General features: G+C 48.6%; 2 long non-coding RNA genes across 7 annotated transcripts in view, besides 1 other annotated feature; one reads left to right on the forward strand and one right to left on the reverse strand.

The window, feature by feature from the left end:
• LOC101928214 (uncharacterized) overlaps window positions 1-9,064 on the reverse strand; it is a 28,748-nt gene extending 19,684 nt beyond the window's left edge. For all 6 annotated transcript variants that reach the window (XR_007087128.1, XR_940326.3, XR_007087130.1 and 3 more), the window contains exons 1-2: window positions 8,768-9,064; window positions 7,694-7,791 (exon numbers count right to left, since the gene is read on the reverse strand). This is a non-coding gene — a long non-coding RNA (uncharacterized LOC101928214). The remainder of the gene's footprint in view (window positions 1-7,693; window positions 7,792-8,767) is intronic.
• NCAL1 (NK cell activity associated lncRNA 1) overlaps window positions 1-14,812 on the forward strand; it is a 282,375-nt gene that overhangs the window by 221,186 nt on the left and 46,377 nt on the right. The window lies entirely within an intron of this gene.
• Window positions 7,028-7,528: an enhancer, noted in NCBI's record as "H3K4me1 hESC enhancer chr2:87983211-87983711 (GRCh37/hg19 assembly coordinates)". NCBI's record gives its function as "activates a minimal SCP1, AML or CMV promoter by ChIP-STARR-seq in naive H9 embryonic stem cells {active_cell/tissue: H9 hESC(naive)}" and the evidence as "EXISTENCE:reporter gene assay evidence [ECO:0000049][PMID:30033119]".

Genomic DNA, 14,812 nt, shown 5'->3' on the forward strand with positions numbered 1-14,812 from the left:
TGAAAGAAAAAATGATGGAAATCACTAGGTGAGAATTAAGTTCTTGGTGACCACTGGCTGTATGCAGGACAAATAGTACTACAAAGTACTACAAAGAATGCAAATCTGTCTGCTGCACCCAGCAACTTCCAGTTGGTAAAAGGCTATGTCCCTGGAGAGGTAATAACTGCCACTGTAAGAAATTCCTAGGGTCCAATCCTGAATCCTTCTCTCAACAGCAGGATTCTGGGAAAGGGAAGCCAGGTTGTTCATGGACATTCAGTGGAAGAATTAAGGCAATTAAATGTTAAGTTTTGCAGGGCTGGTCGACAAGAGAAGAAGGGAATCATAGGTAATGAGCACAACTAAAATGAAGGCACAGAAGCAAGACGGTCAGGCTTTGCTCAGAGAATAACTTCAATGAGAGCAGTGAGCAGGTGCTCCAGGGTCCTGGGAGACAGTGGGAGGTGGGTCACAGAGAGCAGGCTGAGGAGTTTGGATCTGCTCATAGAGAAATATCTTAAACTAACAGATTCCACGTCAGGCAAGGTCTCTTGGCTTCAAGGAGCTGGCAGTCAGGAGGGAGCGATCTAATGCTGGGTGGGGGTTGAGAGCATCTGGTGGAAAGAGGGAGGATGTGGGCAAAGAGTTTTTCCATAGGTGGTGTGGTTGTCCGAGGGGAGGCCATGAACAGAGAGAACTGAGGCAGGGAGAGGGAAGCCCACAGGCCTTGGGGTTGGGTCAGAGGAGGTGGTCAAGGAGGGAAAGGAAGGAGAGAAGACAAGGAGAAAGGAGGGGAAGAGGGAGGCACCTCCCCTCTCACTGGTGTCAGGATTCAGATTGTGACTGGGCTTTGCATAGAGCAGGTGGGCAGCTGTGACCCACACATGATATTCCACCCGAAGATGTGTTTTTCTGACATGCACAGTAATTTTCAAAAGCAGGAAAACTTTATATAGATATCTAGATTTCTCTAGATAAGTGGAAAGGCCTGGCCTTCCTGGACCTGCACCTGGCAGTGCCACCTGGAGCTGGTCACAGCTGCTCCCACAACTCCTGGACTGGGCGCTTCAGTTGGCTGTAGTCCCCACCCTTCCTACTGCCTCACACCCAGGTGACTTCACTCACGTCCACTGACACCGTCTGCCTGTCCCCAAGGACACTGAAGTTTGCAACCTAGGTGCAGATTATGTGCACACAGGGCTGCCATTCACAGGAGGGAGATGGTCAGTGGGGTAGGAGGGCGCTGAAATCCAGCTTGCATGCATGCCCATGTTCTCTGTATGTCCCAGGGAAGGAGGTCCCTTCTGTATTTGCACAAAGACATCGTACTGGCTGAAAATGGCCCTGCCCGCAAATTCTCCCAAAGGTGTGTATTCTCCATTGGTCACAATGCACTATGTAGCCCATGAGAAGGAGACCAACTCCGGGGAGCTGAGAGTGAGAGGAGACTGCATTCTCAGACACAATTGTCCAGACACTTCCTTTAAAAACTACACGCCAATGCCCAATAATGCTCAGCCTTGGAAAACAGTGAGTGTCTAATCAAGCCATTTAAAGCAGGGAGAAGATTTTAATTGGTTGCAAGGGCTGGTGTAATTATTTACAGCATACAGAGGTTTTCCTTTTGAACCTCACAGCAATCAAGTGCAGCAGCAATTTTTCTTTCCCTATTTTGCAGATGAGGAAATGGAAGCTTATGGAGGTTAAGTGATTGGCCTCAGGCCATTGCATTTAATACTACTAATAATATTAACAGCCATAGTCCATCCTGGGCAGGCCTGAGCATCTCACACACATTTGCTCATTTCCTCCTCACCCCATGAGAGCACTGATGCTACTTTTTCCTCTCTCCCAGAAGAAGACAGAGGCCTAGAAGAGTCTGGGCAGACTCCAAAGCCCACCCTTCTAGTCCCAATGTGAGACACCCCCATTAATAACACCAAAGGGCCCACACCTAAAGGCAAATCAGTCAACTAAAATCCAGGTCTTTGGTCTAGAATCTGTCACTCTTATTCCTGCATAATTTTTAACACTGGACTCATGGTGCCTTGAGCTGAAATGGTTCATGCAGGATATATCAAAAATCTGAGCATTAACCAGAGTGTTTGTAATGACAAGGAATCTGTGCCTTTTCTATGAGACATACCAGCTCTGTGTTTGACTCTGGTCAGTGTAGGCGTTAACTTCTGATCTGAATCAGCAAGACCTGGGTTCCAGCCTTGCCCTGCAACCCACCAGTGGTGTGGCCTTGGACCCATCGCCTGCCTGTCAAGGCCTCATCTTCTTCCTCTGGGACAAGGGCACAGCCACAGCCCCCGTGTTATGGCAACACATGGGTCAGGCTCAGGTCTGGCGCTTGGCAATCAGCTGATGATGGCAGGGAGGCTCTGCTTCCTGTCCCAGGCAGAGGGGATGGCACGGCCTGTGAGTAATGCAGGTTTGAGTGGTGAGCCAGTTCAGAGCAAGGCTGGGAGGACCTTTGGGCACAGTCAGGCTCCAGGGATGCAAGGCGTGGCTCCTTCAACTTGTCTCCAGCACAGCCACACACGCCACCAGTGTGGGGAGGGAGCCCCTGGTCATTTTCTGCTGGGGAGCAGAATCGCTGATGAAGGGCCCAGCGCCAGTGGGGAAGAGGCCTCCCCAACAACCCTGGGCCTCCTGCCCGCTCAAGCCACTTAAAAATCCGTACCGTGCCCACAAGGCTTTCCAGTCTCCATGTCTCAGGAAGGTCCAAGACAGTAGGTGGAGGTGGGCACATGACAGGGCTTTCTCATTGCCTCCAAACAATGCCATGTGCTAGGCCATATTTTCTGCTCTTCTAGAAGCTTCTGTGTCCTGGGCCAGGTGGGTGCTCATTGTGTTCCCTCTGTCTCTGGGATCCCCTCCTGCTCAGGATTTAGGGGGATTGGGTGCCCTGTGCCCACCTGCCAGCTCCCATTTACTCACACCACCCTGCAGGCTGGAGGCTTAGCCACTTCTCAGGAGGAGCCTAGAAAGGATATTGGTCGCCCAGCTGCTGAACCTGCCCCAGCATCCTTGAGGGTCTTGAAAAATCTATTTTATGCTGGGCACCTGTAATCCCAGAAATTTGGGAGGCCGAGACGGGTGGATCACCTGAGATCAGGAGTTCGAGACTAGCCTGGCCAAAATGGTGAAACCCCATCTCTACTAAAAATACAAAACTAGCCAGGCATGTTGGAGCATGCCTATAATCCCAGCTACTCAAGAGGCTGAGGCAGGAGAATTGCTTGAACCTGGGAGGCAGAGGTTGCAGTGAGCGTGAGCCGAGATTGCGCCGTTGCACTCCAGCCCGGGCAACAGAGCAAGACTCCATCTCAAGAAAAAGAAAATCTTAAAAAAAGAATGCCACTGTCATGTGGAAACACCTCTAACAAACATGAGGCCAGCTAAGCTGGGGTGGGGGCCAGGTGGCAGCCTCTGAGGAGGCCTCTGCAGTCCTGGGTGGATGGTTCGGGTACAGCCTGTGAATATGAGAAGCTCTTGGCCACTGCACATGGCTCAGTTCCCATCATCGTGCATCAGACACTGGAAGACAGTAGTTGGAGCTGCTGGACAGGGCTGTTTTTTCTCAACCAGACAGTATCCAGGTGCCTGTCCCTCAGCAGAGGGAGAGGTGCCACAACCGGCTACCATGATAAGGAGTCAGCTCAGAGCACCTTTGTTGGGGGGCCTGAGGAGATGAGGTGGTATGGGGATAGGATTCTGGAGGACCCTGCTGGAACAGGTAGAAGGACAAGAATAACTCCCCACTGGGACTGGAGGAGAGGAAGGCACATGGGGGCCCTTGGCAGGGTGGAGTAGGGCCATAGGTAAAAGGAAAGAGGAGAAAAGGACAGATACTGGGGAGAGTGAGAGGGAAGGGAGGGGAGGAGAAGGGAGGCGGACACCTCCAGATCTGGCATGGCAGAAGTCTCCTCGGAAAAGATGAGTGCAAGATGTGGGAGGAAGAGTAGGACGTGAGGGTCTCCAAAGTCTGCTCGAATTTTCAGGTACAAATGACCTCCCATCAGAATAGCCCCAATCTGAGTTCTGCAGAGGCTGAGAGCCAACTCAAGGGCATGGAGTTTCTGAAGCCAGAAGGGACCTTGATAAACAAGAAAGCCTGAGGCCCAAGGAAGTTAAAGTGATGTGCTGAAGATAACCCAGCCAAAAGGGGGCGCAGCCTGGATCCACACACTTCATGGTGCTCTACCCACTACACCATAAAAGGAGAGTCCAAACATGGTAAAGATGGATGGCAGACTGGCAGCCAGTGCTGTCTCCATGACAGCACTGTCATGGAGATTGACATTGACATTGACATTGACATTGTCATGGAGATTTACACTGTCATTTACAACCTGGCATGCTTTAGATGGTAAAGTAATAAAGCAGAATTGATGTGTCTAAACAAAGACCTCCAGTACCTTGGAAAACTGCACACCTTTGTTTAGCAATTGCGTTCACATTTAGTAATTGTTTTCTGAGTAATCCATTCATCATTCATTTATTCCTATGTCTGGTATTGGCAATTTAAAAATAAACACAACAGAACTCCCACTGTATAATTGCTAAACACAATGACAGCTATAATTGAGGCACTGAAGGAAGGTCAGGGGAGCCCAGGAGGGCGGGGCTGCTGCTGCCTGCTGAGCTGGGAGGGTTGGTGGCACCCCTTGCCCTGGGTTGCCATAGCAGATATCATAATCAATTACGGCCGTCTTTCATGAGGAACCTGGATCTTTCCCAAGGAATCAGTGAGAAGTTTCAGCTCACATACCATCTCTGATTTGCCATCCCTGGGATGTTAGCTGAATCCTCTCATTTTACATGGAGGAGACTGAGGGCCACAGAGTTCAATGCAGGGCCTAGTTTAGACTCCAGACCAGCTGCCAAGAGAGATGAAGGGCTGGTGGAGACCAGCCAGCAAGTGGCCATGCCGCCCGCTGCAGACCCCACTTCACACTCTCATGCCACCCCCTTGGGTTCACTGACAAAATTATGCTCACAAAAGCAGTGCTCTGATTTCTATGAGATACTGTAGAAAATAACTTGTTTTTTCTTTTTGTATTACTTTTTATTGTATGATACATATTCATTTCAGAAAAACTAGAAAATACAGCTAAATTGGAAGGGAAAATTAAAGTCACTCATAATCTAACCACTGCTATTTACATTTATACCTTATTGGATATATTTTCAATATCTTTCTAGGCATTTTTCTCTCTGCTTATGTGCCTGTGGTGTTATGATACATATGCATAGGTTTTCATTCATGGTTCCTGGCTCATCACTCTCATAGTCCTTGTTATAATGTTGGGAGCGTTAGGCCTCAGGAGACAACGTCCCTCTCTCTGAGTTTTTCCTGTTCTCCTTTCTCCTGCCCAAGGCGGGACTCTAATCCGATTGTGGGTCAAAAGACCTTCATTTCAGAGCAGGTCCTGCCCCAGCCCCTAAAGGAAGAAATGCTGCACAGAGAGGCTAGGAAAAGTCTGAACGGGCAGGTCTTGCTGGGTTTAGATTGTGTTCTTTTTGCCCAATCACATTTCTACATGGTTGTCAGTCATGCCATGTAATGAAGGCTCCATAAAAACCCAAGACGGGCCAGGTATGTTGGCTCACACCAGTAATCCCGGCACTTTGGGAGGCCAAGGTGGGTGGATCACTTTAGCCCAGGAGTTCAAGACCAACCTGGGCAACATGGCAAAACCCCATCTCCACCAAAAGAAATACAAAAATTAGCTGGGCATGATGGCTTGTGCCTGTGGTCCCAGCTGCTCAGGAGGATCGCTTGAACCTGGGAGGTGGGGGTTGCAGTGAGCTGAGATTGTGCCACTGCACTCCAGCCTGAGTGACAGAGCAAGAGAGAGAGAGAGAAATAAAGAAAGAAAGAGAGAAAGAGAAAGAGAAAGAAAAGGAAAGGAAAATAAAAGGAAAGAAAGGACAGGAAAAGAAAGGAGGAAGGAAAGAAAGAAGGAAAGAAAAGAAAAAGAAAGAGAAAGGAAAAGAAAAAAGAAAAGGAAACGAAAGGAAGGGAAAAGGAAAGAAGAAGGAAAGAGGAAGGAAGGAAGGAAGGCAGGAAGGAAGGGAGAGAAAACCCAAGAGGACAGTGTTCAGAGAGCTGAGCACGTGGAGACAGACTGGAAGGTGGAGTAGTCATCCATGTGCCGAGTGGGTGGCTGCCCCAGCTCCACGAGGACCAGACTCTTCCAGACCTTGCCCTGTGTATCTCTTCATCTGGCTGTTTATTTGTATCCTTTAAAATATCTTTCTAACAAACCTATAATTGTTAAGTGTTTACCCAAGTTCTGTGAGCTACTCTAGCAAATGGAATCCAAAGAGGGGGTCTTGGGAACCCCAGCTTGAAGTGGGTCAGTCAGAAGTTCCAAAGACCTGGACTTGAGACTGGTGGAAAGTGGGAGGCAGTCTTGTGGGACTGAGCTCTTAAGTTGTGGGATCTGATGCTATCTCCTGGTAGGCAGTGATGGAAGGGAATTGGAGGACACCCAGCTGGTGTCCACTGCTTGGTGTGTGGGGAAAATCCCCACACATTTGGTCACAGAAGCCTTCTTCTGTTGTTGATTGCTGTTGCAGTGTGAGAGCAGAGGAAAAACATGATTTGAGAGGTTTTTCCAAAATGGTTCCTGAGTGGTAATCACAGTAATCCATCCACCTTGTGAGTGTGCATGCATGCTTATGTATGTGTATATGGGATTACATAAATATGGCTCACATGTGTATGATCGTATTTGCACACTCCCTTGTCCACTTACTTATATATCAAAGTTTCCCTCATAATGTCTGTTCTGTGTCACTATGTACCCTCCCCTGTCCTCCATTCCCCACACCAAGAGTATTATGAGTATTAAATGCCACGTGGGCAGGTTCCCCAGGCAATGAGGGGGTGGGCCTGTCAAATGCAGGCCATGCAGAATGCCACAGGGCGGGAGACGGGTGAGCCAAGGGAGCCGAGAGTTCCAGATAACAGAGTGCACAGCAAATGCCATGGCCCGCGTCCAGCAACCAGGAGAAACAGAACTGCTGAGCTCAGAATAGGCCAAGGCCGTGTCTGCTAGCAGGGAGCAAGGGCACAGCCTGCTGTCTGGCCTCTTCTGCCCCATCCCTCCACTGGGACATGGCCCAGATGAGAAAGAGCTGCCAGACGGCAAGTCAAGTGTGGGGCGGGAGAGGACAACGTTTTATGCAAGAGTGGATTCTCGGAGCCTCTGCACTCTCCATCAGGGCTGCTGGCATGGAAAACACAGAGAAACCATCACCTAGGACTTGATTGAACTACTGGACTTCCCAGAAGAGTCCAATTTAAAGCAAAGAGGTCCAGAGAAAAAAGCATTCTAGTGACATTTTTATATATTTAAAAACTGGAAAAAAGAAAAAATAATTAGAACACTGAGTTCCCACTGTCTATGAAAAATGGGCCCAGCCCCACTGACAACCAACACGCCTCACCTCACACCTTCCCCTCCGCCTTCGTTCTGGCCGTGAGCCCTGAGCCGACCATGCACATCTTACCACCTGGAGAACCTCAAACTCTCCTCTTGCCCACCCCCACCAAGCCCCACATTCAAAAGGCTTGCCTGAGAGGCCTGCCCACTTCCTTGGCAGTTCTGGCCTCCAGTGCCCTGGCAGGTGAGTGACTTCTCTGTCCTGTGTAGCATTTGGTACAGGTATGTACTGCATTTATAACACTTACCATACTGGCTTGGGGTTGTGACACATCTTCAAGGGAGTCCCTGGAGAGCAGAAAGCTTGTCCTATTCATGTTTTGCCCATCTTGTTCCTGAATAATACCTGCACATTGCAAGGGATCAGCAATATTTCCAACCAAACCATAAACTTCTCCATCTCCCCTTGAAGTCTTCTCGATAACTTTCCCAGAAACTCCCAGAAACAACAATGGCTGTCACTCACTGAGACCCTCCTATGCGTTAGGCCCTAGGCCCTGTGCCAAGCCTTGGCATTCACGTGTCACTTAAACTTCAGGTAGATTGTCAGATTTAGCAAAAACAATAATAAATAATAATTTAGGATATCCAGTTAGATTTGAATCTCAGATAAGCAACAAATAATATTTTAGTATAAGTATGTCCCATACAACTTTTATACCAGGCATCCTATATTTTATCTGGAAATCCTGGCCCCAGGGCAACCCTACGTGAGAAACTTGTAGGTCCATTTTACATGTGAAGGAACTGAGGCTCGGAGAGGTTAAACAACTTTCCCACGGTAACACCTGAGATGGAATGGCAGGCAGCTGACTTCAGAGTCCCCCAACACGGCCTTTGCTTGTCTGGGAGAGGGAGCTCCAGGTGGAACTGGTAAAGGGGGTGAATCCATTGGCTGGGAGATGTCATGAGTTTGAGACTATATTGGGAGCACCCGGCACATGGTGGCCATCAAGCAATTTTTAGTCTCTCTCTCCCTTCCTTCCCTTGCGCCAAATTGGAAATTCCCTTGAGACCCTCACACGGAGTCCTCTACAAACACATTGAATTTCAGCCCTCATAGGAAAGCAGAAGGAAGAAGGATGATGTTGCAGAAGATCGCTGCCATTTGATTTATTACAACAGTCTGAGGCCTCAGAGAGCGCAGAGCAAAGAGACCCTGGAATGCAGCCCCAGATCCCTGGAAGAGACTTTACAGGTGTCACGTTGGAGAGTGGAGAGTGAGGGGGATGGTCTCAAAGAACAGGAGCAGAGATTATCAGAGACACCACAAACTTGAAAAGTCAGGATGGGTAGGACTTGAGGAGAAAAAAAAATCTTACCTTTACAATAGCTTCAAGGACCACAAATTTAAGGGCTCTCCAGAGGCTTTAGGACAGAGTCAAGGAAGTGCTTCCTGGTCGACCCTTTCAACAAAAACTGTGCCCCTGGTCTCACTGCTGCAGGCAGTGATGGTGGTGTCAACATCTGCTCTTCTCGGGCTCCCTCCACGCCTCTGAAAACATGGAAGTGCTTTTACCCATCCAGAAAGAGGGGCAGCTGAAGGAAGGAGGAAAGGGGGTGGTCCAGCGCAGGCGCAGCCTGTTGGGAACCTTCTGCTCTGTCTGAGCATTTGTGATGGTTGAATGGGCTGGCACGGGCGTCTAAGGCAAGGAACTGCAAGGGAGGCTGCAGCCTGCCCTCGTGACCCAGCACTCGTCAGATGGCCGGAGTGGGAATGCGTCAGAGATTTGCCTTTGGACAGAACTGAAAGGATATGAAGCAGGGATGAGAGAAGTTCTTTCCATAAAAATCTGAAAACCAAAGGGCCAAACTGATCAACTTGCAGAACGGGAAGGACTGACAAAAATCTCAGGAAATCACCAAGGTCACAGGGGAAGATCATGAGGAAAATGTATGTGAGGCTCCCAGCCCAGCCCTGCCACCACACAGTGTTGGCCCTGACTGCCACTCACCTGGGTGCCCCCTGGACTGCAAGCACCTGGCAGGGGCTGGGCTTTATTCCTGAAACAGTAGGGGGTCCTATAGCACAGCACCAGGAGAATATATAGCAATGGATGTCCACCCCATCCTGCAAAGTCCTGCTCAAGGGCCAGCCCCCACATCCCCAGCTAGAAGCCGCCTCTCCTTCTGCAACGTTCTACTGCGGCTCTCCACCTCTCTTGGGACTGGAAGTGAGAAGCATTTTTCACGGTGGTTCACAAGGTCTCAGTGCAGATGGAAAACAGAGAGTAGGTGAGTTGGAGAGGGTGGCACAGACTGAACCCCAGACAAGAAGGCTGCCTGGGGACTCAGCCCTGGTCTGTTAGCAGTTACGGGTACCCAGAGCAGGAAAGCAATGCAGAAGGGTCACTTTACCCCAGGCCCCACCTGGAGCCCAGCTGGGGCTGTCCACCTGCTTCTTCATTTGTCTTTCCTCCCAGATCCACATCCTCGCCTCACATCAGGAAGGCCCAGTGCTCACTTTTACCCACCATCCGCCTCCTCCCAGTTGGGCGAGTAGCCCTGGCTGCTGCACAGGGTGCCTCCCGTATGCCAGGCACTCTGCTGGCTGCAGGGCAGCTTAACCTGCAGGGCGGTCAGGACAGACAGAATCTTTGCTTTTTCTTTTCATCTGATCAGGGACTTCTGTCTGATCAGAATTAGGTGTCTGGGCTGTCCCAGGCAATGCACGACAGTCACTGGGCTCTCCTCTCGAAGATTAACCCTTTCCAGATGGCCACAATGGTGGCGGCAGCCAAGCGCCCACCTCCACATAAGTCTTCCCTCTTCTGTCCAAGCCAAATCCACTCACAGGAAAGGATCTGGAACTACATGGAGCTAAGGAGTAATAACTAGAGACAGTTCACTAGGATCTCGTGTGGAGCAGGAAATCAAAGTTGGGGACTGCATCACACTGCTGCAATCCCTATTAAACATTTGTTGTTCAAAGTTCTTTCTCAATGGCCTGCTGGAATTTTTTTTCATTCTTCCTCTTTGGCCTGTCTTCCAGCAGTAGCACCAGCCTCCCCAGCTTCTCCCGTCTCCTCCTGGACTTCCTCATAGCTGTAGGCTTCCATGTTCTCAACTCTATTATTCAGAGGAGTTCAGCTCAGTCACGTCTGCGCCAGAGCTTTGATGACCCACCTGTCAGCCACACTAAGGGCCCTGCCATGAATAAGGCCTCCGTCACTGAGGATCCTGTACCCCTCTGCCATAAACTCAGTGACCTGACTGCCAGCCACCAGGCAGAACCTACTAGACTTCTCTAAAATAGATACCGTGGCCTCCTTCCTCAATCATAGTCAAGGTCTAAGCTTCCTTATCAAAGGCAGGCAGTCCTGGGTTTTACGGCAAGAAGTGTGCTTCCTATGTGCAAGGTGCTGTGGGGAAGGGCTGAGTGTGGAGGCCATGTGTGCAGGTCTTTAGGATTTTAGCTGAGCTGCCTTTTCTTGCAGTTTAAGAAAAAAACAGCCAGCCGTTCCCTCCTTGTAATAAATGCCTCTGCATATTTGAAGACAGTAGTTAGGTCATTCTTGAGCTTTCTCATCTTCAAACTAAACAACAGTGGCCCCTGTAACCTTTCCTTGGCAAATTGTAAGGCCCATATGCAGAGGAAAAGCAAAACAAAACCATCTGATGGGGAAGGCCTCCTATCTCTAACCAAGTGTCTGTTTTGAAATGCGGTCTGCACTCAGTCTTTAATTACATGTAAATTCAGTAGCTTCAAGTGTCTGAGCCAGTGGGAGACCAGGTGCTGCTCATCAGGCCCCTTGGATATGTTCATGCTGCAAGGCTGGGTGATAGCACTTGGCAGACGCTAGGATTTCTTCTCTTCAGATTCATTTTGGGGCAGGAAAAGGGGCTTCCGTGAGTGACCCAGGAGCAGTCAGCTGACACTTCCTCCCCAGGTTCCCTGAGGGTAGGATGGGCCCCAAGAGCCTCCAGAGAGCCTGTGGCCTGCTGGAAAGGCTGCCCTCTGCCTCCACAGAAGCCAGCAAGAGTGGCTTCCAGATGTCCCTGGTGGAGGCTGGCAGCCTCATCCTGCAGCCAGCGTCTCCCAGGGGAGGCTTCCTGCTGCTGCTAACTCAGAGACAGGGGATCTGCTAAGCGCCTGCCCTCGGTGGGGGTGTTCTGATCACATCAACTTCTTTCCCATGGTTCTTTCCAGGCTCCTTTCCCACATTTGCAGTGTGTTATCTTGGGAGACCCCATGTGTTAGTCTGTTTGTGTTGCTGGGAATACCTGAATCTGGGTAATTCTTTTTTTTTTTTTTTTTTTTTTTTTTTTTTTTTTTTTTAGACGGAGTCTCGCTCTGTCACCCAGGCTGGAGTGCAGTGGTGCCATCTTGGCTCACTGCAAGCGCCAACTCCCGGGTTCACACCATTCTCCTGCCTCAGCCTCCTGAGTAGCTGGGACTACAGGTGCCCGCCACTACGCCAGGCTAATTTGAGTCTGTGTAATTCTTAAAGAAAAGAGGTTTATTTGGCTCATAGTTCTGTAGGCTATAGAAGAAGCATGGTGCTGGGCACAGTGGCTCATGCTTGTAATCCCAGCACTTTGGGAAGCTAAGGTGGGTGGATAACGAGGCCAGTAGTTCAAGACCAACCTGGCCAAGATGACGAAACGCCATCTCTACTAAAAATACAAAAAATTAGCTGGGCTTGGCGGCAGGCACCTGTAATCCCAGCTACTCGGGAGGCTGAGGCAGAGAATTGCTTGAACCCAGAAGGTGGAGCTTGCAGTGAGCCAGGATCGTGCCACTGCACTCCAGCCTGGGCAACAGAGCGAGACTCCATAAAAAAAAAAAAAAAAAAAAAAAAGAAGAAGAAGAAGAAGCATGGCCACCGGCATCTGCTTCTGGTAAGGACTCAGGAAGATTTCACTCATGACCAGTCATGGTCAAAGGGGAGCAGGCATGTTACATGTGAGAGAGAGAGCAACAGAGAGAAGGATGGAGGTGCCAGATTAAAAAAATCCAATCTTGCAGAAATAAGTAGAGCAAGACTCCGTACCGTGGGGACGGCACCAGGCCCCTCATGAGGGATCCTCCTCCATGACCCAAACACCTCCCACTAGGGCCCACCTCCAGGACCCACTGGAGATCCCATTTCAATATGAGATTTGGGGTGAATGAACATCCAAACTGTATCATCCAAGGTCAGTGCGTTTCTCTGTCCTCCAGTTTTGCCTGCCATGAGCAGCTTTCCTGTGAGCCAGCTGTCCTTTTCGTCTCCAGGGTCATTTTCTTCCTTCAGTGCCCAGTGTTTGGACTTTAGGCTGACCTTCAGGATTGTGGAGTCACAGAACAAGCTCATATAAGTGTGTAAGCAGGCAGCAAATTTTTTAAAATAAAGAAAAAGTTATTTAGACTGTGCCAGTCAGTCTGTGTGCCATCCTAGCTACAACCCAGGGTGGATGCTGAGTGGAGGGTAGAGGAGTGCATCCCTCACTCTTATCTGTGCTTGTCCTTCTTGCATACTGCTGAGGCCAGGAGCACCTAGATTTGCCCCAGTGGGACTCACCTTTTTATTTATTTTTATTTTTATTTTTATTTTTATTTTTATTTGAGATGGAGTCTCACTCTGTCACCCAGGCTGGAGTGCAGTGGTGCGATCTTGGCTCACTGCAACCTCCACCTCCCGGGTTCAAGCAATTCTCCTGGCTCAGCCCCCTGAGTAGCTGAGATTACAGGCGTGCATCACCACGCCCAGCTAATTTTTGTATTTTTAGTAGAGACGGGGTTTCACCATGTTGGTCAGGCTGGTCTCGAACTCCTGACCTCGTGATCCACCCACCTCGGCCTCCCAAAGTGCTGGGATTACAGGCATGAGCCGCCATGCCTGACCTGGACTCACCTTTGAGGAGACACGGTTTTGGCCAAAATAGCTGTTAAGTACAAGTGTTCAACTGGTGCCCAACCAAAGGGAAAGCAATCTTTTCCAACAGTGAAGAAGAAATTGGTTGTGTCTGCTTTTCAACAGCAAGGGGGTGAGTCTCAAATATGGTGCCTCCATTAAGGTGTTCAATAATTTCAACTACATGAAAAATGTGCCTTGGGAATGACTTCAGAACTTAACCCTCCAGGGAGAAATGCCTCTACTGTATGGCCCCTGGCCTGGTCTCAGATTGGATCATAAGCTCCCTCATTCTTGTATCCCCATGCCCAAAACTGTGCCTGGCACTTAAGGGCCCATAATACATATTTTTGGCTTTGTTGAATAGTTTAACTCATTAGTGATGCAAAGTCCCAACTGCATATTTAGAGATATTTATGTGTGCACTACATTATGGATCGTATGGGTGAGAAGTAGGAACTCAAAGAGAATAAATCATACTTTCCCTCCCCAAAATGTTTATAAAGCCACCAAGAAGACAGGACATAGACACATCAAATATAAATAAAATACAAAAGGATGCACCCTGACATGCCAAATATGTGTTCACAGAAACAAAGTTCCTCTTGCCAAATTCCTGTTGTCTAAAGCAGTTTTTCCTAAAACATATTCTTCAGAATACCAGTTTCTCAGAGTGCCAATGTGAGGAAAAGCTTTGGTGGTCAGATGAGTGCAGGGCTGGGTTAGGCTGATTTCTTTACCAGAGGGCTTCCTGAAGACTTAAAGAAATCTGTATTGAGATATAATTTGTATAGCATAAAGTTCACCCACTTTAAGTAAACAACTCATTGGCTTTTAGTATAGAGTTGTGTATCCATCACCACAATGTCACTGCAGAATGTTTCCATCACCACCCAAAACACCTCATGCTGTTTGCAGCCATTTCCCATCCACTTCCTTCCTAGCCCCTGACAACCACTAATTTACCTTCTGCCTCTATAGATTTGCCTATTCTGGACATTTCATACAGATGGACTCATTTACTGTGTGATCTTTTGCGACCAGCTTCTTTCATTTAACTTAATGTTTTCAAGGTTCATCCACATTGTTGCATGTATGCACTGATGGACATTTGGGTTGTTTCCACTTTTTGGCTATCATAAATAACGTCATTATAAACATTCATGAGCAAGTTGTATTTGACCATATGTTTTCAGTTCTCTTGGGTCTATACAGAGGAGTGGAATTGCTGGGTCATATGGTAATTCTACATTGAGCTTTTAGAGGAACTCCCAGACTCTTTTCCAAAGCAGGTGCACTATTTTGCATTCCCACCAGCAGTGTACACGAGTTCCAGTTTCCCTACATTCTCACCAACACTTATTATTGTCTGTCCTTTTTTATTATAGCCATCCCAGTGGGTATGAAGTAGGTATGAAGTAGTACCTAATTGTGATTGTGATTTTGATTTTTGTTTCCCTAATGACTAGTTGTTTTGAGCATTTTTCATGGGTTCAGGGCCTTTGATATGTTGATTTTTTCACAAATCTT

Source organism: Homo sapiens, chromosome 2 (assembly GCF_000001405.40).
Source record: "Homo sapiens chromosome 2, GRCh38.p14 Primary Assembly".
NCBI lineage: Eukaryota > Metazoa > Chordata > Mammalia > Primates > Hominidae > Homo > Homo sapiens.